Raw genomic sequence first — 26,186 nt, 5'->3', positions numbered from 1 at the left:
TGCCTTGTCAGGGATGGGGCACCATACACAGGATTGTGAAAGGAGAGGGGTGTGAACAGGCCACAGAGAGAATGGCAGGGACAGAGCTGTCCAGAGTCTCCCTCTTGGGCTTAGGCCATGCCATCAGCCCTGCAGGTTCCTAGAGCAGCCAGGGAGTTCCCGGAGTGGGGCTCATATCACCAGCGGGTTGAAAGGAGCCCCGATCTTTTCCATTCCTCAATTCCTGATGCGGCTCCACAGATCTCACAACGAAGAGTCTGAGCCAGGCCAGAGGCATCACTGGCTTTAGGGTCATCTCCCTCTCTGTCATTCCTGAACATTCACTAGCACTCAGACTGAAGTCAATGCAGTTCCCACTCACCATGCTAAACACCTTCTCTGTCTGAAGTGAAATTTAAGTCATGGATTTTTCAAGTAAGGAAAAAAGTAGAGCAGGCCAGGCATGGTGGCTCACACCTGTAATCCTAGCACTTTGGGAGGCTGAGGCGGGTAGATCACCTGAGGTCAGGAGTTTGAGACCAGCCTGACCAACATGGTGAAACCCCATCTCTACTAAAAATATAAAAATTAGCTGGGCATGGTGATGCATGCCTGTAATCCCAGCTACAAGAGAGGCTGACACAGGAGAACTGCTTGAACCCAGGAGGCAGAGGTTGCAGTGAGCCGAGATCATGCCGCTGCACTTCAGCCTGGGTGACAGAATGAGACTCAGTCTCAAAAAAAAAAAAAAAAAAAAAAAAGCAGAGTAAATACAATTACAGTAGACTCCTTCCTACCTCAAACCTGTCAACTTGAACTTTTATGGCTAGAAATTTTGCTCTATTCTGTTTTTAAATGAGGAACTGTAACTGATATAGTTTTTTCCAACCACTCATGTCCTTTCTTTTGTGACAGGAATCACAAAAAAAAAAGGAAGGGCATCAGTTCCAGCAATCTCTGAGACCTCCGCACGATGCCCCTGCACCGTGCCCACCCTCCATACTAACAATTCTATAATGTTCTCCAATTTTTAAGCATTTTTTTCCACTTCATATCTCATGTATTTCTGCCCATAATCTTCTGAAACAGGAAGGATAAGCGTTGTTATTAATCCTCTTTTACAGCTGATGAAACCAAGGCCCTGAAAGGTTCACCAAGTTGCCAGGGTCGTGCAGATCAACAAACTGCAGAAGCAAGACTCAACCAGGTCTTCTGCTGTCAAATCCTGTGCCCTTCCCATGGCCAGCAGAGCCTCCCCCAGCTGGATCAGAAACCTTTCAGGGAAATTTAGAAGGTGCTTTCTTTCATACACACAAAAAGTAGTGATCACTTAACCTTAAAATCTTGTTTCACAAAGATGTTGTAATATTATACCTATACTTAAAACGTTAGATTTCTAATAAAATTTAATTAATAGAGCTATGAATAACTTAATAGTAATAATGAAAGTCATAGTAATTAATAGTAACTTAATAAATAGCAATAAAATAGCAATGATACTAGTCTCTATTTTGATGATACCAATATTAGTGTCTAATGTATACAAAAGAGCATGGGATTATAAACTAGACAACCTGGGCTAAAGTCTCCAACTCCACCACTCAGAAGGGACTTTGGGCAAAAAGCAAATCTGTTCCTTTCCAGGCTTGCATGGTGGATCTGCTTACCAACACACATATACATATACATATACATTATACATATACATATACATATACATATACATATACATATACATATACATATACATATACATATACATACAGAAACCAGGAACACATATACATACAGAAAAATACAAGTTTGCCGTTGCCGGACTCACTCCTACCATCATCCCACTATGTTAGGCCATAGGTCCCTATTCTAGTGTCTTCTGACTCTTAGAATCTTTGGGGATCCCATCCCTCTATACCTGCCTCAGGCTCTCCTTACTCTATTTAGACACATTATTAATTTGCTCGGGCTGCCATGACAATATGCCATAAACTGGTGGGTTAAGCAATAGACATTTATTTCTTATAGTTCTGGAGCTGGAAATCTGAGAATAGGATACCAGCATGTCTGGGTTCTGGTGAGGGGTCTCTTCCTGGCTTGTAGATGACCACCTTCTTACAGTGTCCTCATATGGTAGAGGGAGGGCGGCAGAGGGGAAGAGGGAAGGGTAAAGAAAGAGAAAAAGAGTCGTACACAAGCAAGCTCTCTAGCATGTATTCTTGTAAGGGCACTAACCCCATTATGAGGGCCCCACTCTCATGACCTCTAAACTTCATTACCTCCCAAAGATCCCATCTCTAAATAGCATCACATTGGGGGTCAGGACTTGAATATATAAAGGAGGTGGGGGACACCATTCAGTCCATAGAAAAATGCTTCTTATCTCTATCTTTAATACCTTCACTCTCTAACACAATTGGAAACCTCCCCAGGGGCTCCATGAACCGTGGCTGCAGGCTCTCAGGTACTCTATCCCAGGACCACAAGGAGTTAATTTGATATTTCCACCAATGGAGGGTATCAGGCTCTCATTAAGCCATTGTAAAATGGATGTAATAAAACAACTGTTTTCTAAGATTACTGTAACAATAAAAATATTTGTTAAAACTATAAATTGCGAGGCCTACAATAATTTTACTGGTGGTCAGGAAACTAAAACAAGGACTGATTTAGTCTAATTAGGAAATTGAACATAAACATTTTCCCTATAAAAGATACAAGAATCTTCTCTGTGAAATATATTCCAGTTACCAGTAGCATTTCTGAGGTAAGGCAATATAGAACAATGCCACTCTCTGACATGTATGATAATAATTGATTTGTTTGCTGGTCAAGTCTTGTTTTCTTTCTCAGTTTACATTGCACTTACCAGATAAGCCCAAGGCACAGACAGTGACACCTAAGTCATTAGGCTATTTGGGGCAACATATTCTCTTCCGTTCTGTGCTTCTCCAGTCCCACAGAAATGCCCAAAGGGAAAATGGAGGGTCTAGGATAAAAGCCCTTGAGTTTTCAGTGAGTAACATTAAAAGAATATCAGTGATATCTTCATCCAACACTTCAGGTTCTGACATTAGGATGTAATTTTTATGCCCACGTTAGAAGCACTGAATTTGTCTCTTCCCAACAGTCCTGCTCTATGGCACTGCTTCCAGAAGTAACACTGATAACGGCATGTTCCTTCTTTGATGAAGAGTTCCCAAAATGGATTGACCAGGTGAAAATAAGAAAGGGGAATAGAGAGGAGGAAGATGGAGCTGTTCTCTACATGCCAATGTTTCTGAAAGACATCTCCAACTTCATCCTTTCTCTAAATCTGGGCTTATCAATGCAACTTTCCAATGGGCATCCTCCCCATCTCATAGAAATTCCACAAGTTCCAAACTCCAGGATCCTCTTCCCCTACCCAGAGCCCACACCTCTCTTCCTGGGTTCTTCTCCTTGGTGAGTGGCACCAGTACTCATCTGGTACCTAATCTGTAATATAACTCCTCTCCTTCATTCCAGCTATGCAAGGTCCTGCTCAGAAGAACTCTGGCTTTTATTCATTTTATATCCACTCCCAATGTCATAGGCACCAAACCTAACATTTCTGTAGCATCTGACATTTTTCTTTTCTGTTTTACTGTCTTCCACCTCCAACAGAACATGAGCTCCATGACACAGGAATATGTCTGTCATATTCAACACTGCAACCCTAGAACAATCACTGATCATTTAATAAAGTCTCCTTTAAAGAAATATTGAATGAGCACAATATTTAATTGTGAATTAATTCTTCCTAAATGATACGTGGTCATCATTAGAAACATTAGTTTTTGCCACTTATATTCAGTACAAGTTAGTTTAATCACATTACTCTCATCCTAACACTGCTAAGAGGAGCTAACCCTGAAGGAATAAGAGTTTCACTCAGGATAAAAGGAATAATTTGGGGACGTGGGGGCACTTTACAGGGATGGAGATCTCACCAGGAAGAGACATAGGAGGGTGGTTGAAACCATTGAAAAAGTGATACCAGGCATTAGTCATTCAAAGCAGAAATGAGGAAGACTAAGAGGTGAGACTGGGTTGCATAAAGGAACAAAACAGTTGCTAATCTAACCCTGTGCCTATGAAGCTATAAGGTAGCAGCTGAGAACATGACTTTGGGGTTTAAATCCTATGTTCATTATTTACTGGCTGTGTCATCATGGGAAACTTAATCACTCTACAATTCTCATCTCTAAAATGGACATAACAATGCCTAACTCACAAGACTGTTAAAAAGATTAAATAGGGCTTATAGGAAAAGCATTTAGCACGATGCTTTTGTAACTTTTATATGTAATAAGCAATCAAATGGTAGTATAATTACTATTTTTAAAATATTATCCCATAATTATAATTTTTGTTAAGATTAGAGTTTTGTTATTGTTGTTGTTGTTGTGTTATTGTTGTTGTTTTTGAGATGGAGTCTGGCTCTGTCTCTCAGGCTGGAGTGCAGTGGCGCAATCTCGGCTCACTGCAACGTCCACTTCCCAGGTTCAAGCGATTGGAGATTTTTAAACTTATTTTTGTTTTTTACTTTTCATCTAGATTATTTACCTATTCTGATATTTTTGAAGTTGCTGAAAAAAAAAACAAAAAACTTTCATCTGGATTGGTAGAAATCACTAAATCAGCAAAGATAGTACATGAATCATCAGCTGATGACTCAAAAAAACAGCACAGCTTGTAATTTCTCTAAAACTCAGAGAATGAAGAAAAATGGACCTTTGTAAAGTAGGGTGAGATAAATAATAATAAGAAATCCTCTGCCCAAGCAATTGCCTTCAAAAAACATAAAAGCAGAAATCAGTTATATCACCTCCTGCTAAAACTCAGCTTCTCTTAGAAAAACATTCCAATTCTTAGTATGATGCTCAAGCTTCCCAGGATCCTTGTCCAGTGCACTGGTGTCCTTTTATTACCCTCTCCCTGGCCATTCACATGTGTGGTTTTCTCTGTCCCCAAGATCTTCACTGGGGGCTTCCATTCAGGACTCTGCTCAAATGCCACTTCCTCAGGGAAAGTCTCCCAGCCTAACCGAGCTGAAACAATTGCTTCTCCTCAGTCACTCTTAGGACCCTTCACTCTGTCTTACTTTTGCCCTAAATCACCCATCATTATCAGAAGTAAAATCATCTACTTACTGTTCACTGTCTGCCCCAGTAGAATGTGAGTCCCACGAGGACTGACCTTTATCTTTCTTATTACAGATTCCATATATCCCTAGATTATAGCACAGTGCCTGTCACCCAGTGTGTTTAATAAATACTTGTTGGAGGAATGAATTAGTAACAATACTACCTACTGTTCATAGTTGAGGACTTATTATGTGCTTGCTAGCATTATCTCATTTAATCTTAAGGACAATGCTATGAAGTTAGGTATAATTATTGCCCCGTTTTACCAATGAGGAACCTGAGGCTTAACAAAGCTAAAATTACTGACTTATCCAATGTTAGACAGGACTAAGTGTGGGATTTGAATCTAGATCAAATGCACACATGTACATATACACACACATACACTTTTTATAGGCAAATTGGCAAAAAGAAGGAAAAAAGAAAACAGGGTAACTACTACACTACTCAACGATCCTACCAGGGCTTAGGATGATGACTGGAGTCAAGCCTAGACCAACTTGCTCTCTTCTCATTCTCCTCAATGGAATGAAATGCTTGGCCAATGGTTATAACCAAGGACCACTGGCCAACACTGCATCACTGAGGATTCCTCACTGTACTCAGCAACCACAATGCGCAGGAGATGGTCCAAAGGTATAGTACACCTGGACAAATGTAACCGAAAGTTTATTCTTCTTTTCAATAATGTCAGAGCTTCAATCTATATGTTAACTTTTTAAAGGAAAGAAAAACTCAGTGGCTGGGCACAATGGCTCATTGCCTATAAACCCAGCACTTTCGGAGGCTGAGGTGGGCAGATCACTTGAGCTTAGGAGTTTAAGACTAGCCTGGCCAACATGACAAAACCTCGTCTCTACAAAAAATACAAAACTTAGCTGGGCATGGTGGCACATGCCTGTAGTCTGTGCTACTTGGGAGGCTGGGGTGGGGGTATCATCTGAGCCCAAGGTGTTGAGGCTGCAGTGAGCTGAGATTGCATCACTGCATTCCAGCCTGGGAGACAGAGTGAGACCCCTGTCTCAAAAAAAAAAAAAAAAAAAAAGGAAAAAGAGAAAAAGAAAAAGTTAGCAAGTTACTGTTTGTCTATAGACTACTATTTAAAGATGTTTTCAGCAGAAAAAAAGGTAAGAATTGCTCAGTATTTCAGAAATAAGAATGGAATTGTTACTTCTTCAAGTTGGAAAGGCTTTGGAGAGGTATGCTATGAAGTAAGCTTCTGAGAAAATTTATTTTCTTATCCACTCTTCCAGACTATCCTTCAAAATTATATAATTGCAGTCTGCCAGATATTTCCATGTATATGTAGAAATATAATTAGCCCAATTAGTTAAGACTTTTGACTTGTACAATAAAAACGCAGTAAACTGACACTCTATTACTCAAGATAACGAAACAGCTGGTACAAACACTCATACCTGCACTTACTGCCAGTAATAAACTTTATGAGCTTTGGGACATCACTTGGCTTTTTGGTATCTTGATTTCTTTTTCTTTTTTTTAATTTTATTTTATTATTATTATACTTTAAGTTTTAGGGTACACGTGCACAATGTGCAGGTTAGTTACATATGTATACATGTGCCATGCTGGTGTGCTGCACCCATTAACTCGTCATTTAGCATTAGGTATATCTCCTAAAGCTATTCCTCCCCCCTTCCCCCACCCCACAACAGTCCCCAGAGTGTGATGTTCCCCTCCCTGTGTCCATGTGTTCTCATTGTTCAGTTCCCACCTATGAGTGAGAATATGCGGTGTTTGGTTTTTTGTTCTTGCGATAGTTTACTGAGAATGATGATTTCCAATTTCATCCATGTCCCTACAAAGGACATGAACTCATCATTTTTTATGGCTGCATAGTATTTCATGGTTATATGTGCTACATTTTCTTAATCCAGTCTATCATTGTTGGACATTTGGGTTGGTTCCAAGTTTTTGCTATTGTGAATAGTGCCGCAATAAACATATGTGTCATATGTGTGCATGTGTCTTTATAGCAGCATGAATTACTATTCAAATCAAAGTTGTTGGACACAGTTTGATATTAATTTTTTTTTTTTGAGACGAAGTCTTGCTCTGTCACCTAGGCGGGTGTGCAGTGGTGCCATCTCGGCTCACTGCAACCTCCATCTCCCAAGTTCAAGTGATTCTCCTGCCTCAGCCTCCCAAGTAGCTGGGACTACAAGTGCCCGCCACCATGCCCAGCTAATTTTTGTATTTTTAGTAGAGATGGGGTTTCACCATGTTGACCAGGCTGGTCTTGAACTCCTGACCTCAGGTGATCCACCTGCCTCAGCCTGCCAAAGTGCTGGGATTACAGGCATGAGCCACTGCGCCCAGCTAATTCTTAACAACATACTATGCATTTGCACCTGATCTCATTTTAAAGAGAAGAAAATAAGACCTGAAGCCATGGTTGTTATACAAAATAGACTTGTAATCATTTATGCCATTTAGGGCAAAATATAGACAGACAATATGCATATTAGGGACACAAAATCTCAATGTTTACCTGAGGTATTTGGATAAATGTTTCTTTAAAACATATACAGCTATAACTATGCACACACATGCATATGCATATACACATACACACATTTGGCTCTTCTACAGGAGGACGGTTATATTGATCCACTGTAAGGACACATGGGTTTCAAACTATTTCCCAGTAGAAAATACCAAAAAAAGGTAGAGACTGTCTAGCACCAAGAATGGAAAATTATGAATATTTTGCCATTATTTCCTTAAAGAAAAAAATATTACAGATAATGTAGAGGTCCCCTTTGTTCCCCATCCAAGTCCCTTTCTCTTTTTGTCCTGTCCAGAAAGCTAGGGCAACTGTGAATTTAGAGTGTATTATTCCTCTACAAATTTAAATGTCTTTATATATATGTAAATCCATAAAAATATGCTAAACTTTTAAAATTTATCGTTAACATTTGTATAACTGTACTGAATTGTGTATTATTTTGAAACCTGCTTTTTTCCCCAGTCAACATCATAGTGTTGACAGCTTTCCATGTTGGCATATTGATCTAGTCTATTTCTTTTAACCCCTGCATTAACATTTCACCTTATGACTATACCATATTGAATGTATCCATTCCTCAATTGATGGCTATTTAGACTGTTTCTCTTTTTCACTGTAAGAAAGCCACAAGTAAGCAACTAAGCATCCTTGTACACATCTTTCTGCATGTGTATGAGTTTCTCCAGGGAGGTATTTATCTAAAAAATGTAATTTTTAGGCCATAGGGAGTATCTAGCTTGAGGCTGAGCATAGAGTGCTAAATTGGTCTCCACAGTGGTTGTCTAGGTAATGGAATTTGCAGGAACCATCTTTACTCTTGTCTACCATACACTTTGACCATCACCTCAGCCTGTTAGAGGGTGGCAGTCTAAGGGCAGTCTGCAATCACAAAAGGTACAGTACACATGGTGTTTGTCCTGCTCTCTTTAACTCAGCAAGTACCTCAATCAACCCAGCCACTGAAGATGGAAGAGAAAGAAAACCATGTGATGCCAGTAAAAGCCCTGGATCCATTTATACCACTTTGCAACAATGGCCTTTTCTTCTTAACTATGAATAGCTTGATTATAAGTAATGCTGTTATTAATAAGTCAGCCTGGTAGCTATATTACATGGTAAGATATTTCTTTGCAAAGATGTTCTTTTCAAGGGATGATAAAAACCAAATGATTATCTTTCAATTCCTGATCATAAATTCTTCAATTTTTGAGACTCCATAGCTTACAATGTGATAATGAGAACCTGTATTTTAAATAGCTCCAAGGGGCTTTTCCTCCAGAAATGGGTATCAATGTCTTTGGAGGTAAAATGTGAAAGGAATAGGAAAATAGAAATCTACCCACATATAAATAATAGCTGCAATTATAATTTTCATATTGCCAGCTATTATGAAGATAGTAGCTTATAATGCCTAAAACGTGGCACTAAGAAGTATATAAGCAATTTATTTTTTAATGTGGCTTCTTTATATCACTAGGTAGGTCATTTTTTCATATGTGCTATGACACAGACTATATGTATAAGATAGGGCCTATGTGTCCTCCATATATTAGCAGAGGACTTAGCAGTACAGGAATAATCCATAAATGCCATATTTTAACAAATCCAAAGCTCTCTAGTTGGCACAAAATTAAAAATGAAATCCACTGGTGATGGACTCACACTGACCTAACCTCACAGTTTCGCTCAATCACTCATGTCTAACAGAACATTGCCAGCTGTCCTTTTGGCTAAAAGCAAAACAAAACAAAACAAAATTGAAATCACTAACTTTGTGTTCTCTGATTAGAAAAGCTCTAATTAGCTCCATTCTCTAATACTCATTGTGTTAAAATAATTCCATGTCAGACACCTTGAGTGCGCTAATATTTTTATATTTTGTGTGTCAAGACATCCTTTCAAGTTTTTTTTTTTACTGAGCCTATGAATCAGAGAGAGACTGCATATTTTTAGTTTTCTCTGAAACATTTAGGATTGTGCTAAACATGAACTCTCTGGATAAATGTTTGTGGTGATGGCTTGTGACCTGTCCCAGCAGCTGGCCCAGGCCTACCATATTTTCAGAGCAGTGCACTGGGAGAGATCCTCAGAATCCCTAAGTCCCTCACCCCTGAAATTTGGCCTGTTCTAAAATAGAATCAGTACAGTCTTAGATGGCTCTGAAGGAGGTTGACATTTAAGCTCAGCTTTAAAGCCAGGGTATAAATGCAAGGAGACCAGAACCGAGTATTCATCTCTTGTATTCCCACCAGTATGTAGTTTTGGGTTGAGCAGACCCAGAACGAACATCCATAAATGTCTAGCTACTGTAGATTCCCTATCTCTGGCCAACTTGGAATTTCTAGTTCGTAGTCCATGTTTCATTAGCTTCTTTATAAATGAATGTGCCTTCCTAGTTCCTCCCTCTCTCTGATCCCCCAAATTTTAAAAACTTCATGACACTGCCAGATAATTTTTTTCCAACTCAGATCCCAGTGAGTTATTAGGCAGATTTTACTGCTAACACATAGCTCTCCCAGTTTAAACTACTTTTCAGTTGGGTTTTTCAAAAAGCTAGGGAGCTGTAGCAGTTGGAACTATAGGATTTAGCAGAGTAAAGTGCCTGTGCCTTTCTGTCGGACAGAACACTCTGGCAGGCAGTGAAGAGATCTGGGGGAACTTCCCAAACTGTGCAGCCTTGGATACACCCTGCGTCCATCCACCTGGCTTTTATGTTGTGAAAACAGCATACTCTTATAATCTCAAACTCTTTCAGAGTTTGTAATAATTCTATGATTATTAAAACTCAGATAAAGTTCAGCAAGGCTTAATCTCATTTTGGTCTTAGGAAACTAAACCTCACCACAAGACAGGGGAGAATCCTGAAGATCATTTGATGGTGGCAAAATCATTCACTTTTGGAGAGTGCTATTGTTTGGGTAGGATTTTTTAAGCTTAATTCACAAAGACATTTTTTAAATATTAAAATTCATGCCCTTTGATTGATCAAGGAGGAGGCAGGATAATGTATTTTTTTCCCCTCGTACCAGAGTTTAATACAGGCTATATCTCCTTTGGCAAATCACCTATCCCGATAAAAAACAAAACTGTTTTTAAATCTCAGCTCTGTAATCCTTAGAGCTTAAAGATAAAGGAAAAAAAATGACCTTCTTTTTGTCCATTAGTCAATTACAGGAAGCATTATTCTTTCCATATTACCACGTTATGAATCTGATTTCAAAGTAAGTATTCTAATGAAAAGAGAAGCACTTAACTTTTTAAAAAAATTCCAACTGACTCTGCAAATGAAATTTTTAAACCAAGGTACCAGGAGAGGAAAAAGACCTTATGTTCTAAAGCCACCATCATATGAAATAAATTATTCTGTCTTTTATGTATCCGAATGGTAGTAGTTATATGCCATCCTTGGGAGAACTGAAGAAATGGTCACTCAAGTCATTCTGTATGTTTTGTGTTTCTGAGGAGCCCTCACTGAGAAAGGCTGGCAGAGTCAGAAAAAAAAAATTCGTGTTCTTTAAACAGGGTATAGTCGGGGTTTTTTTTTTTGTGATTGGGGCTTTTTAAAAAGAGAGGTACTCTGGAAAAGGAGACAGAACATATTTAAGTCCTACTTTTAGCATGTGAAGGAGCTAGATTCTACATTTTCTTAAATACTCTGATGAGTTAAATGGAACTAACACTCAAATGCCACCAAATCCCCCCACCACTGATAGTTAACAATGACAGCATCTCCGACTGCTTCTTGCATCTTTGCTATCTGCCTGACTCCATTCTGAGTGCTTTGCATCAATTCTCCTGTAATTCTCTTTAATATGAGATAAGTATCCCCAGATTTACAGATGAATAAAACTGAGACTCAGCTCACACAGCAGGCCCAAGATTGTCCAGTTAAATAAGGAGCACAAGCAGGATGGAAGCCAGGCCAGTTCAACTCAAAGGGCCTCACTTAACACCAAGGCCTACTCTGAAGGGTGCAAGACTTCAGGCTTGTATCCTCAGGTGGGCTGTAAAATAAGAGGCCTGGACTACACTAGCTCTAAATTTGTTACCCAGTATGCTACAGTTAATTTACCAAGATACATAGTGCAAAAACAAGGAAAAAGATTAACGTCACTTTTTACTATGATTTTGTATAAAATAATTGGAATTTAAAATAGGGCACAAAACATTATCTTTATGAAACACTTGTTTCTGAATGAAATGGAGGATGGTTTTAGCACCCTAATACTCAGTTTCAAAACTGTAACAATAAAGTTACACAAGATGATATAAATTCTAACCCCTGTAGAAATGTTGGACTGATTATCCAATTTCAGGAGTTACAGTGTGGCTTTATGTTTGTTTTCTTTAGTGCTTTGCCATGGTTTTTATATAATAAATGAAAAACACAAACAAAAAACACAAAACTGAGTTGTGGAGAATGATGACTTCGATGGAACCATAAAATCTCCCCTACACTAAAAAGAAAAGAACACACAGCCACTTTACATCTGCAATCCACCTTCCTCAGACCTTGTGAGTAAACTCCTGTTTCACTGCTACAGAGCACTCATTTATTTCACATTTTAAAAACTGACACTGATATTACAGTAGAACTGATGTTGTGGCTAAACTATATTCTACAGTGCCTATAAGTTGGCTGGCAGGATTCCACATGGAATCTTCGTACCTCTGTGAAAAACTGGGCCATGACCAAGAATACTCATACACTGGGCTTAAAGCCACAGTCAATTACTTGTACTGCTCTGGCAGAGAAAACACAGGCCAAACAGGTCTCATTTCACCAGTGCTAAGAAAAGTTATTACCTTTTATTTCATTAACTAGTCAGATGACATCAAATCAACAGTTTTTTTACACATATCCTACAAAATTGAAAGTATAAAAGTACTTCATTTTCTAGTACTGATTAACTTAATTAGACTACTCATTTTTTCTCCTTTTCTTTTTTGAAACAGGGTCTTGCTCTGTCACCCAGGCTGGAGTGCAGTGGTGTGATCACAGCTCACTGCAGCCTTGACTTCCTTTTGGGCTCAACAGATCCTCCCAGCTCAGGCTCCCAAGTAACTGGGACTACAGGCGTGTGACACCATGCCCAGCTAATGTTATTTTTTGTAGAGACAAGGTCTCACCATGTTGCCCAGGCTGATCTCGAACTCCTGGGCTCAAGACATCCTCCTGCCTCAGCCTCCCAAAGTGCTGGGATTATAGGTGTGAGCCACACCCAGACTAGACTAATCTTTAAGAAGACAACCTTTGTTTATAAGAGCAAAAGATTCTATTATATAAAGGCTGTATCAGGAGTGCACTTCCAATTTGATATAACTCCATTTCATTTGAAAATCTATGGTCATCAGAAATTTGGGGAGAAAAATTTCAATTTGACTAAGATGTTTAAGGGGGAATGTTAGTTATTTTGAAAATCATAAACATCTTGACTTTGCAGGTTTAATCATCTGTACACTTCTGATATTGTACTGTCAACTTGTATTTTTATCAACTTCAATGGGTCTTGTAGTTATAAACAGCATAATATATCAGACTGACAGAAAAAAAGTAAAATAAGCTGAACTCCTAATCTATGCTGGTCATTGTTGAAGCAATTGCCATGTTTTATCTCATCTAGTCTTCATAAAAAACCCTAAGAAGCAGGTACTAATAATATCCCTATTTATAGATAACAATACAGAGATGCAAAAAGTTCTGTAACTTGTCCAAGGCCATATAGTTCCAAGTTGCAGAGCCAGGCAATCTGACTCAGCCTCTGCTCGTAACCACCATACAATCCTTAAAGTCCTGTTCCTTTTATTTTTTTTCTCCCTTGCTTATGTCTTAGGCCCACCTAGGAACACCCACAGAGGGTTCCTGGCTCAGGTGATGATATTGGGGGGTGCTCAGAAAGTCCATTGCTGCTAAAACAATATATAGAAACAGGTTACGGTAATACCATAATGACAGTTCCATATAACACAAAATATTCTCAAGCATAAGGATACTTACTTTAAGCAATAAAGCACAGACCAACATTTCAATAAATCAGAAACTTGAAATACTATCTTGGAGACAATTATAATTGATTTTCCTCAGCCCATTTCTCTTCTTAGACGACAAGATTTCCTTGTTGATCTTATCCACATTCCCGATTTTCACTGCTGCAAATCTGCATCCCGTCCTAACCTCTCCTATAAGCTTCAGACTTACAATATTGTGTCAACTGCCTGCTAGACATCCCCATCTAGATGTTTCAATTTCAAACCAAACAATCACACCCCCACCCCATTCTACATCTCCTTTCTGAATTTCCTATTAGATTTTTGGAATTACCATACCAAGCTGGAAATGTAGGGGTCTCTACCTCACTTCCACATCCAAATAATTCTGTCAATTTTACCTCCCAGATCTATTCCTTCCCTCAATTTCTGTTGCTACTGCTGCAGTTCAGGCCTGTACCGTCTCTTACTTGGACTATTTTAAGAACCTTCTCAGTGGGCTCCTGGCTTCAAAGTTACCCTGCATAGCAACATTCAAAGCAGGGAGGAACATATGAAAATCTATGGTCCTCCCTGCTTTGAACCTTGCTATGGCTACCTACTGCCTCCAGATGAAATTCAGGTTACTGATCCCAGCATCCATCTGGCCTCAGTCTCTCCTGTTTTTTCCAACACGCTTCCCTTTAGTATTCAGCCCCTGCATCTTACTAATCTGAGGCTCTTTGGGCCTAAATAACTGTTCAACTAAATTGAACAAATGTCTAGGATTTTGATTTTTAAGTAATATAGAATAATACTTGGTCCTCTAGAGCATGTAGAATTCATAATTCCAAATTTACTATGAGAATTAAGTCATCTTTTAAAACATTTTTATTGTGGTAAAAACCATTTTTAAAGAAGAATTAATCCTCCCTTAAGGAATCAGAATGGGGAAAAAGTTATTTAAGGTCTACCATCTTTTTGCTTTTTAATCAATAATTGAGTTATTCTATTTGTATTCTGTTTCTTCACAGTATCAATTGCCATCAGGAGTCTTTGTAAGTAGTGAAGAGTGGTGGATCAGGATCTCATCAGAGGCAGGCACCAATCTGACTTAATTCAGGGACTTGGTTAGGTAGGTGACAGAAAAGCTGGGAAGCCAGACCACTGTGAGAACCACAGGCAGCCTCTCCACGGCCTTGGGCAGAAGAATAAAGAGAGGAGAGAATGTTGTTGGAGCTCAGGGCCACCCACAGTGGGTGGGGCATAGGTGAGACGCAGCAGCTCACAGAGGTCTCTAGAGCTGAGGAGACAAGGCTGAGAGTCTGGGAAGCGGGACAGAGTACCCACGTGGAGAAAGCTACAGAGAGAGAGGACTGTAGAGATCTGTAGCTTCCCTAGAGTCTTCAGCTGAGTACTGACCAGCACATGTACATAAGTAAACTACAAGAGGCCAGAGAGAGGACTAGAGGGAACCATCTCCAAATCTTACACAAACATGCTGCATGAGCTGGAAAGAGAAATATAAATGCCCTGCTTTCCCCCCAACCCCCGCCCCTCCTCCTTTCCTGTAATCCTCCCCTTACCTATGCCTCCCATTAGCCTGGTGGTTCTCAACCTTGGCTGCACAAACTAGAATCAACTAGGAAGCTGTAAAAACGTTGAATGCCTCGGTACACCCCTAGAAAGACTGATGTAATTGGTCTGGGTGCAACCTGGGCATTAGGAGCTTTAAAAGCTCTCTTGGTGAGTTGAGAACCAATACATTAGCCGAACCCAAGTAGAAGACACGAGAACAGACCCTGGAAAACATAGCCTACAGAAATCAGCACCCTTTCATACGGGGCAAGGAGAGGATCTGAGAGCCTGTGGGCCTAAGATCAGCAAAGATGGCACAAAGAGATGGGTAGAAATAAGATGATGAGAAGAAGGAGAAAAAAAAGTAGGCATGATCTTCCTTAAACCCTTCAGTGGCCAGCTCACATTGAACACCCGGCTGCAGAGTTTCTTCCCTCTTATAATACTTACTGCTATTCCTCCAGTGACCAGACTATCATGTGCCACCTCCCATGTGTCCTTGGCTGTGCTGAAGCCCAGCATCTTGCTATCTGTTCTGGTTCATCCTGCAGCATCCCATCAGGAAACCCTGGTGTTCCTCCTCTTACTAGCTGCATCAGGTATTTTCTTCTTTCCCAAACTGACTGGCTAGTTCATTTGTATATTTTGCTAATATTAAGTAGTAATTGATGGCTAATAATAGGTAATGTAACCCCCCCGGATAATATTTGCATGGCAAAACAGACCTTGAGTGTAAGAATTTCAGGGCAAAGTCACAGATTGATTGAATAGATTTTTCTGTGTCCCTTAAAATGTAAATAAATTTAAATCAAATAACATAGGGGATGGCCTAACATTGGAAAGTAATGATTTACAAATTTACAAATGATTTACTGCAATGTATTTTGATTATAATCCTACTCATAGCTGCTAAAATGTTAAGCAATGTGAAGATACCTTAAGATACATTTATATCCTGTTAATCATTTATAGCCTAAAAATATACTTGCTGTAAATTCCAAAGTCTTATGATTTTGGATCAAAAGAAATTTATTTTTAAAAGTGGAAATATTTAGCATTATTATCCTATTTGCCTGAGAAAGTCACCTTCCAGAGAAGGACAAAATCCAAGGTCAAAATCAGAAATCAGATACTCTATGTGTGTGTGTTTAGACTGACAGGTCAGTCCCTGAGAAACTGGTTGTATATTGTGAAACTGTTAAAATACTGAGTTCAAAACTGGACATGCTATTTTTAAAAAACTATTTTCTGGTATGAATCTTTCTTATTATTACTCTAGATGAAGAATTTGTGAATCTCCACAAATATATGGTAGTGCCAACTCCTAAAAACAAACTTCCAACAGGACAACCACAAAGTACTGAAATAATATACATGCATGCATAAAGGCCATGGGCAGATCTACTTCTGTGATCCTACAAGCAACACATCAAGGCTCATAATTCAGAGATCATTTCTCTTCACCAACTACTTAATGAATGGTATTCTTCCAGTGGAAAGTTTAAATCCCCAAATCACAACCAATACCACCTGACTGAGCTCCCAAAATTATCACTAAAAGGAACAGATCCATTCTACCTAAGTATGTGGACATATTCTCATTTTAGCTATCAGACTCTTTTAAAAGCACTTGAAATAATTAATACATTTTAATGGACAGAATGAAAATTCAAAACAGGTAAATGACCACATACTGATGGAATTCCCACAGACTCTTGGGAGCAATATGACCATAACAGCCATCTTCTTCCATCACATTATTAAACAAGAAATGGAAGATGCTTTTTGTCCGTAAAAACCAGAAAATTAAGGTTAAGTGAATTTTGAAATGATGAGTAACTAATACTACACAGGAAAGAAACACACAAGTCTAAGCTTACCAAAGGAGTAGTAAACCCACTAGGATTTTATCATGAAAATGCTGCATATGTCTCAGACAAAAGGCAAAGGTAGAAGAGAACCATCTTTTCTTAGCATGTGGAAATAACCTAACAATTCCTTTGAAAATAGAACCTATCTATACACATGCAACAAATCTGCACGTTGTGCACGTGTACCCTAAAACTTAAAGTATAATAAAAAAATAAACAAATAAAACGTGAAAAAAAAGAAAATAGAACCTAAACACATACTCTGTACTGAGTCAGTGTTCAACTCATGCTATTGACTTATTAAATAATGATGTCTAAGAACTCCACGCATTGGTAAGACCTAACTGGGTACCTTTCTGGGAATGAATAACAGTGATTTTAAAGACATTATTAACTGCAGTGAGATTTGCTCATCTGCCCAAGCTGAAGGGAGGCATCTGATTCATCTCGGTCAATTTAAACAGCTCAGATAATCTAAACATGGTGTGGACAAAATTAAAGGGCATTCCGAGTCCTTAATATTATGTGGGCTCTCTTTCAGAATGGTCTTACAAAATGTGCCTCAGGGGTTCTGTGGGTCCAGGAAATATCCACACAGTCCCTGACTTTGGTGGTGACAACAAAGGGATCGAAGATCTGAGAAAGGGAAGGAACAGAACACCACCTCCCGAAGCAAAACCAAACCAACAAGAAAAAATACTCACAATTGCTTAAAGAAATGGTTGATACTAGGTTGAAACTTTAAATTAGAAAATATTTTCTTCAGTTAATAGAAAGGAAATAAAGGATTGTCAAATCTTGTCATTGTCTATTTCTCCTCTTTAATTTCTTATAGAAATAGCAGATTTAAATACACACAAACACATACGGTTGCTTTTAGTTACAGCAACTTCACATTTTAGGAACAGACATGTCGTACTTTTCTGTAAGGCAAGAATGCTTAAGTGGAGTTGGCTCCACATTTAGAGCCAACAGAGCAGAAAGATCTCTAAAGAGCAAGGTGCACATTAATGGTGAGAAGAAATAGTACACAACAAGAAACACTAGGCACTTACAGGGTGTTCTCTTTTTTTAGATGGAGTCTCACTCTGTTGCCCAGGCTGGTGTGCAGTGGTGTGATCTTGACTCACTGCAACCTCTGCCTCCTGGGTTCAAGTGATTCTTGTGCGTCAGCCTCCCGAGTAGCTGGGACTACGGGTGCGTGCCACCATGCCCGGCTAACTTTTGTATTTTTAGTAGAGATGGGGTTTCACCATGTTGGCCAGGCTGGTCTCGAACTCCTGACCTCAAGTGATCCACCTGCCTCGGCCTCTCAAAGTGCTGGGATTAGCAGGTGTGAGCCACTGTGCCCAGCCTATAGATTTTTTTTTTTATAACTAAAAGAATTACATGGGAAATTTTAGGTGGAAGAAAGATTTTCAAATATCCTATGTCTTCATGGTGGACAGAAATGCAGGGAGTCATGTAATAACCCAAAAAAAATACTTAAGAACCTCATCCATGTAATATCATGGAATTAGGGATTACGGTGGGTTACATCACAGTCTTATTAGATATAATGGACATCTTTAGATGCCATATATTCAGGCTCTATCTATGTCAGCAAGTGGCTGAGAATAAAGGCTTAAAAAAGTCCACTTTATCTACTTAAGCTCTGGTTCATAAATGCCTAGGACAGGTGGACCCTCCATGGAATAATATGTTCACTAAGCTGGTGTTCCTATACCTGAAAACATGTACTGTGAGAGTCTCTTAGCACACAGCTAGGTAGCCTATAGGTCTTTTCTGTGGGGTGGGAGAGCAGAGGAAGCCATTCTTTGTTTATTTGAGATAATCCAACCAGGTTCATGACTTCCTTTCCTTTGTTTCTATTTTAAGGAGGAAAAGAAACAGAAATCCCCATTTCCACTCCAACCCTATCCTCAACACAAATTATAATACCTTAAAATTGTAGTAGAAGGAGCTATAAACCATAAAAAGATAAAGTTCAATTGCTGAGGGGCAGCAATCGTAAGCATGTTCTTACCTGATGTGGCCGATCAATTCAATAAGCTTGTGACTAAAAAAATATGCTGTCAGCTCAGACACATGACTCAGGACTGAACAGACCCCAAAGAGGGTTGTAGTTCCATTGAGGTCTTCCAAATGCCAGTAGAGAAAGGTGAACACGAAGCCATATCCAAAACCCATGAACCAAGCCACAAACAGCACTGAGCCATACTGCACGCTGCAGAGCAGCTTGATTAAGTCCCAAAAGTTGAAGGCCTGCGAGTGGCTTGTGGTGGTTGGTGTCTCCTCAGAGGACTCTGTAGAGTTGTTCCTTTCCACCTGCGGGATCTCCACCTCTTTCCCTTTAGAATCATCGTTTTTGAAATGGTTGTAGCGGAACCGGAACTGAGTGGCAACGATCAAGGCCATGGTCATGAGAACGCCGAAGACGATGAAGACGATCTGGTAATTCCTGTACTCGGGGGGCTTACACCCCTTTCCATCGATGAGCACTTCGATGTGGGTGTAGTCGATCCCGATGCCCACAGACAGCATCGCCAGGCCCCAGCCCAGGGAGCCCCACATGCGCTGCAACCCATAGCGATCTCTGTGTTTTCCCAGATACTGGAGTGTGACCGTGTCTACGATTGTGACAGAAGAGGCACTGAAAAATTCTCCTATTATGACAACTACCAAGATCACCAAGAATATAGCTTCAACTTCTTGTTGATCATAAACAAGCATGACTTGGTCAGAAGGTAAAGATTTGGTGGTGGTAACAATAACAGTGGTTGTCTCCTTGGTTACGCTTCCTGGGGAGACAGGGGTTGCTGTGCTTGAGTTCAAAGTCAAGTCCATCATACGGTTAGTAATTTCACCTGTCTGGGGCTGCAGAGTGGGTTCACTGTTCATGTTTGGAGCTGTTGGCAAAGTAACGGTGTCTGAGACATTGAGCCTTGTTTCCAAAAGGTTTCTTTTCTCACGCATTTTTGGTGATATGGTGAGGAAAGAGGTAAAGGAAGAATTTGTTGGCAGGATAGTTAACTGGTGACTTGCATTGGTGGGGTGAGTTGTTGGGCGAATCTTTGGTACACATCTCAAGGTAGCAGGTTTGACAAATCCAATGCCCAGGTTGAATAAAACCCAACACAAAAGAGAAAAGAGGAGGACAATTTTGCCTTTTTTAAAGCGGTCTGCAACTACACCCCAAAAGGGGGCACTGCAGAATTCAATGAAGTAACGAATACCTACTAGTAGTCCACTCTGGCTTGGAGACATTCCCAGCTGTTTGTAATACACAGGCAAAAGGGGATAGAGAGAGCCATAGGCAGAGTAAAAGAAAAAATAAAAGACCTTGGAAATTAGAAGATCGTTGTTTATCTTAACACAATGTTTCTCTATCCAGTCTATTTCCTCCTCAGGAATAGCAGATGTTTCTGTGGAGGAAGGTGTTTCATTCGAAGGTGGTTCTGGTTCCCTGGAAATACCATTAAAGGGATCTGCAAGCACATACTTTCTCTTCTGTTCCTCTTCATCATCCGTTAAGATAGCAACTTTATCATCTGCCATGGCTTACCACCACCATCAGCAAGTTTACAAACTTCAGAATTTGTACTGTTGATCTGTAAAGTAAAATTTAAAAGATGGCTTAGTAATGAAAATCATAACATGTAAACACAGAACTTCATCTTGCAGGAAATTAAGCAGTTACAAACTAAAATAATAATTGCAAGAGAGAATTCTCATCATTTATCACTTGCAGCCACACAATACCGGTAAGGAAAAATAGCTTTTAAAAAAATCGAATACTCTTTATGGCCACTGACTGACTAATTACATCTTCCAATGGCAGGTTTACAGCTCAGATTCATTCCCAGTCTTTTCATTGATTCCCAGGGAAAATGTACAAATAATAGGGATTATGTCTAAACCAAACACAGAGAGTTGAAAATAAACACTGTTTATAGTTTCTTGATTTTACTGTTCAAACAAATCCACTACATTATGAAGTCTAGGATTCTTTAGAAAATAAAGGTAGCAAAACCATTCTGTTTCTAAGGAAAAATAGGTTGCACTTAACCACAACCACAAATGTAATGAGAAAGAGGAAGCCGATGGCATTGTTGCAACTATAGTGCTCACTGGAGCCATGACAAAGATACCCTGGTAATGAAGGAGTCTTCACATTGCATATATTATGTACAGTCCTCCAGATGTGCTTTATAGATAGCAGTTTAAGAAAATGGCAAGAAAAAAGAGCAGATAATACTTATTTAGCACTCTGTATCAGATAAGATTAAAAGATCTTTACATGTATTCATTCATATTCATCACAATAGCCCTATTATCTTGTCCATTTTACAGATGAGAAGAATGAGGCATGGCAGGTTTAACTAATAAGAGGCAGTGCCAGGATTTGAACCCTGACATTATGGCTTCAGGACACATGCTCTCTACGATGGTAGTCCCCAACCATTTTGGCACCAGGGACTGGTTTCATGGAAGATAATTTTTCCTCAGATGGAGAGGGGGGTTGGTTTTGGGATGAACTGCTCCACTTCAGATCATCAGGGTAATTCTTAGGTTCTCATAAGGAGCACACAACCTACATCCCTCGCATGCACAGTTCACAATAGCGTTCATGCTCCTATGCAAATCTAATACCTCTGCTGATCTGACAGGAGGAAGAGCTCATGTGATAATGCTTGCTGGCCCGCTCTTGCTGTGCAGCCCAATTCCTAACAGGCCACAGAGTGGTAGCGGTCCATGGTCCAGGGGTTGGGGAACCCTGCTCTAAGACACACTAAACTGAAAAATAACACATTTTAGATAAGATGCCAGTAAACTTTTTTGAAAAACAGTGTTTTGGCCGGGCGCGGTGGCTCACACCTGTAATCCCAGCACTTTGGGAGGCTGAGGGGGGCGGATCATGAGTTCAGGAGATTGAGACCATCCTGGCCAACATGGTGAAACCCCGTTTCTACTAAAAGTACAAGAATTAGCTGGGCCTGGTGGCACGCATGTAGTCCCAGCTACTTGGGAAGCTGAGGCAGGCAAATTGCTCGAACCCAGGAGGCGGAGGTTGCAGTGAGCTGAGATTGCGCCACTGCACTCCAGCCTGGCAACAGAGCGAGACTCCGTCTCAAAAAAATAAATAAATAAAATAAAATAAATAAATGTTTTTCATATACGATATTAGCAATATACATTTATATAAATTTATAGGAACTGTGCCAGCATCCCATCAGAATTTCCCTTTCTTCTATTAAAGATTGAATGATTAAAGTGTCAAAAGGTCTTGTGTGCATCAAGAATTATGTTGTTCCAATGAACAGATTCTGATGGTAGGAAGTATATACATTAAATATGTGTTAATTCCTTTCACCTTCTTTTCTTTTTTTTCTTTTTTTTTTTTTGAGAGACAGGGTCTTACTCTGTCACCCAGGCTGGAGTGCAGTGGTGTAATTATGGCACTGCAGCCTCAACCTCCCAGTCTCAAGCAATCCTTCCACCTCAGTCTCCTAAGTAGCTAGGACTACAGACGTGTGCCACCATGCCCAACTAATTTTTGTAGAGATGGGGTTTTTGCCATGTTGCCCAGGCCGTTCTCCAACTCCTGGGCTCAAGTGATCCTCTTGCCTCAGCCTCCCAAAGTGCTGGGATTACAGGCGTGAACCACTGCACCCTGCCTCCTTTCACTTTCTTTACTAGAGAAAAATATCAGTTTCACTTGCTACCCCTTGGAATAGATCTTGCTCTTTGTTTTCCCAAAATGAATAACATTCTGAAAAACCTTCTAAAATTATACTTGTAAGCATTTTTTAATCTCTACAAAGCTCCTAGGTAGACAATGGAACACAACTTAAGGAGACCTGTGTAAGGAGTCAATTTATCTGTTATCCCCAAAAGCCAGATGTCAATGTAGCTGTAAGCTTTGAAAATGTTCATGTCGGTTTTTTAGGTTAAAAAAAATTTAACTGAAGTGAAATTCACATAACACAAAATTAACCATTTTGAAAGTGAACAATTCAGCGGTAATTTACTATATTCACAATGTATATGGCCACCACCTCTATTTAGTTTCCAAATCAGGTTTTTCTTAATAGTGAAAGAAAAACATTTTTTTCCTCCTAGAAAATGTGAAGGTTAAGCAAAATCCAATCTTTTGCTGCTTAGCTATACATGACTTTCTTTAATGTTCTATACCTATTTTTCCTTCATCATTAGTGCCTTCACCTATCCAGCTCAGCGGCTCCAATTCCATTTCATCATCTGAAAAGAAAAAATAATTTGCCCTCAAATCTATTTTCTAAATTAATTTAATTCCTGAGCTCAAAATTCAAAGAAACATTTCTTGTGTTTCAAATGTATAAAATTATGTGATACTTCTGGGTAAAGAGAGCAGATTAAACACATGTAGTTTGAATCCTTCCCTGAACCCACTAAAATGACAATAAACACACACACACCCAAACATACACACACACTGTAAAAGTCATAATTCAAGCTAGAAAGATTAAAGGGCACATAATAGCAATAAAATAAAATTACGGAAAGCAGAAAGTAAACAATTGGTAAAAGACTTGGTAGATCTGAGAAAACTAAAACCTTGGTTGATTATAGGGAAAGCCAAGAACTAATAAAATTTACTACTCGGAATCCCTGAAAGGCTCATGAGTTAGCTATATTAGATTTATATGCAAGTAAGAGAAAGAGTGTATGTGTGAGTAAGTGAGTGAAAGAGAGAGAGAGAGAGAGTGTGTGTGTGTTGGGGGGCGGGGGTGGCAGGGGTTGGGGAGGTGCTCAAATAGAGCTGACTGAAAGTCTAAACCCCAAACAAATGCAGGTTATTTTCCTCTGGAAAGTAAAACACAGAGATTTTGGCCAGGTGCGGTGGCTCACGCCTGTAATTCAAGCACTTTAGGAGGTTGAGGTGGGTGGATCATTTGAGGTCAGGAGTTCAAGAGCAGCCTGGCCAACTTGGCAAAACCCTGTCTCTACTAAAAATACAAAAATTAGCCAGGCATGGTGGCAGGTGCCTGTAATCTCAGCTACTTTAGAGGCTGAGGCAAGAGAATCACTTGAACCCAGGAGCCGGAGGTTGCAGAGAGCCGAGATCACGCCACTGCATTCTCCAGCCTGGGTGACGGAGCAAGACTCTGTCTCAAAAAACAAAAACAAACAAGAAACACAGAGGTTTTCTGGCCATAGAGCACCAAGCAGAGTTGTAAACGGTGCCATGCTGAAAGCAGGGCATCAAGTGAACATACACATCCTGGATTCTGAGCCTTGGCCCCTTTCCCCATCCCACTTTCTTCAGGAGGTTCCCAGAGGCTGGCAAGACTTCCATCCTCTAGGCAGGAAAGTTAAAGCCTCTTCTCTAGAAAATCTGGTTAGCCTAAGAGGAATGACTTCTAGATGCTTATATTGAAACCTCTCCAACTAAACAACACAACCCAATGACCCTACACAGGAACTCAGAGTTATCAAGACCTTCCACTAAATATGAGTAATTACCAAGGATTATAAGACATTTGAGGAAAGTCTGTTACATGAAAAACAGAACCAAAACAGGAAACACTATCAGTCCAGAGAAATCAGAAGCCAAGTAAAAAGGAAAATACTTTTGAATATATGATTATCTTCAGAAATAAGAGAAGATTATGCAACTATGAAACAATACCAGAATAATGTATATTTTTAAAGAAAAAGGATGGACAGATAAAAGGAATACTTGAATAAAAAGCTCTGGAATTTATAAGTATTATAGCATAAATGAAAAATTGAGATGATATGAAAGAAAAATTTAAGGCAATTTCTTAGGAAAATAAAGAACAAGATGCTCATGCTCCCTCTCCCTCTCCCTCTCCCTCCCTCTCCCCACAGTCTCCCTCTCCCTCTCTTTCCACGGTCTCCCTGATGCTGAGCCGAAGCTGGACTGTACTGCTGCCATCTCGGCTCACTGCAACCTCCCTGCCTGATTCCCCTGCCTCAGCCTGCCAAGTGCCTGCGATTGCAGGCGCGCGCCGCCACACCTGACTGGTTTTCGTATTTTTTTGGTGGAGACGGGGTTTCGCTGTGTTGGCCGGGCTAGTCTCCAGCTCCTAATCGCGAGTGATCCGCCAGCCTCGGCCTCCAGAGGTGCCGGGATTGCAGACGGAGTCTCGTTCACTCAGTGATCAATGGTGCCCAGGCTGGAGTGCAGTGGGGTGATCTCGGCTCGCTACAACCTCCACCTCCCAGCTGCCTGCCTTGGCCTCCCAAAGTGCCGAGATTGCAGCCTCTGCCCGGCCGCCACCCCGTCTGGGAAGTGAGGAGCGTCTCTGCCTGGCCGCCCATCCTCTGGGAGGTGAGGAGCCCCTCTGCCTGGCTGCCCAGTCTGGGAAGTGAGGAGCGCCTCTTCCCGGCCACCATCCCATCTGGGAAGTGAGGAGCGTCTCTGCCTGGCTGCCCATCGTCTGAGATGTGGGGAGCGCCTCTGCCCCGCCGCCCTGTCTGGGATGTGAGGAGCGCCTCTGCCCGGCTGCGACCCCGTCTGGGAGGTGAGGAGCGCCTCTGCCCGGCCGCGACCCCGTCTGGGAGGTGAGGAGCGTCTCTGCCCAGCTGCCCCATCTGAGAAGTGAGGAGCCCCTTCACCCAGCAGCCGCCCCGTCTGAGAAGTGAGGAGCCCCTCCGCCCGGCAGCCACCCCATCTGGGAAGTGAGGAGCGTCTCCGCCCGGCAGCCGCCCCGTCCGGGAGGGAGGTGGGGGGTCAGCCCCCGCCCGGCCGGCCGCCCCGTCCGGGAGGGAGGTGGGGGGGGCGCCTCTGCCCGCCCGGCCGCCCCTTCTGGGAAGTGAGGAGCCCCTCTGCCTGGCCACCACCCCGTCTGGGAAGTGTACCCAACAGCTCATTGAGAACGGGCCATGATGACAATGGCGGTTTTGTGGAATAGAAAAGGGGGAAAGGTGGGGAAAAGATTGAGAAATCGGATGGTTGCTGTGTCTGTGTAGAAAGAAGCAGACATGGGAGACTTTTCATTTTGTTCTGTACTAAGAAAAATTCTTCTGCCTTGGGATCCTGTTGATCTGTGACCTTACCCCCAACCCTGTGCTCTCTGAAACATGTGCTGT

General features: G+C 40.7%; 2 protein-coding genes across 14 annotated transcripts in view; one reads left to right on the top strand and one right to left on the bottom strand.

The window, feature by feature from the left end:
* MFSD6 (major facilitator superfamily domain containing 6) overlaps window positions 1-26,186 on the bottom strand; it is a 94,739-nt gene that overhangs the window by 45,640 nt on the left and 22,913 nt on the right. For 7 of the 10 annotated variants that reach the window (NM_001375989.1, XM_047444824.1, NM_001375992.1 and 4 more), the window contains one exon: window positions 19,114-20,698. In NM_001375989.1, the coding sequence (NP_001362918.1) occupies window positions 19,114-20,645 (1,532 nt within the window). In that variant the 5' untranslated portion in view covers window positions 20,646-20,698. Of the gene's footprint in view, window positions 1-19,113; window positions 20,699-23,282; window positions 23,349-26,186 lie in introns of all 10 variants that reach the window. The other 3 variants (XM_047444825.1, XM_011511368.1, NM_001375988.1) reach the window with 1 other exon arrangement.
* Window positions 1-26,186, top strand: part of NEMP2 (nuclear envelope integral membrane protein 2) — a 227,365-nt gene that overhangs the window by 192,111 nt on the left and 9,068 nt on the right. For 3 of the 4 annotated variants that reach the window (XR_007068185.1, XM_017003100.2, XM_011510458.4), the window contains one exon: window positions 1,104-2,583. The exons of the other annotated variant lie outside the window; for it this stretch is intronic. Coding sequence is in view for 2 of the 3 variants with exons in the window: in XM_017003100.2 (XP_016858589.1) it covers window positions 1,104-1,107 (4 nt within the window). In the remaining variant the exon portion in view is untranslated. Of the gene's footprint in view, window positions 1-1,103; window positions 2,584-26,186 lie in introns of those variants that run through there. 4 annotated transcript variants of the gene reach the window in all.

Source organism: Homo sapiens, chromosome 2 (assembly GCF_000001405.40).
Source record: "Homo sapiens chromosome 2, GRCh38.p14 Primary Assembly".
Taxonomy (NCBI): Eukaryota; Metazoa; Chordata; class Mammalia; order Primates; family Hominidae; genus Homo; species Homo sapiens.
The sequence above is the reverse complement of the archived record's forward strand: the minus strand, read 5'-3'. Positions and strand labels throughout refer to the sequence as shown.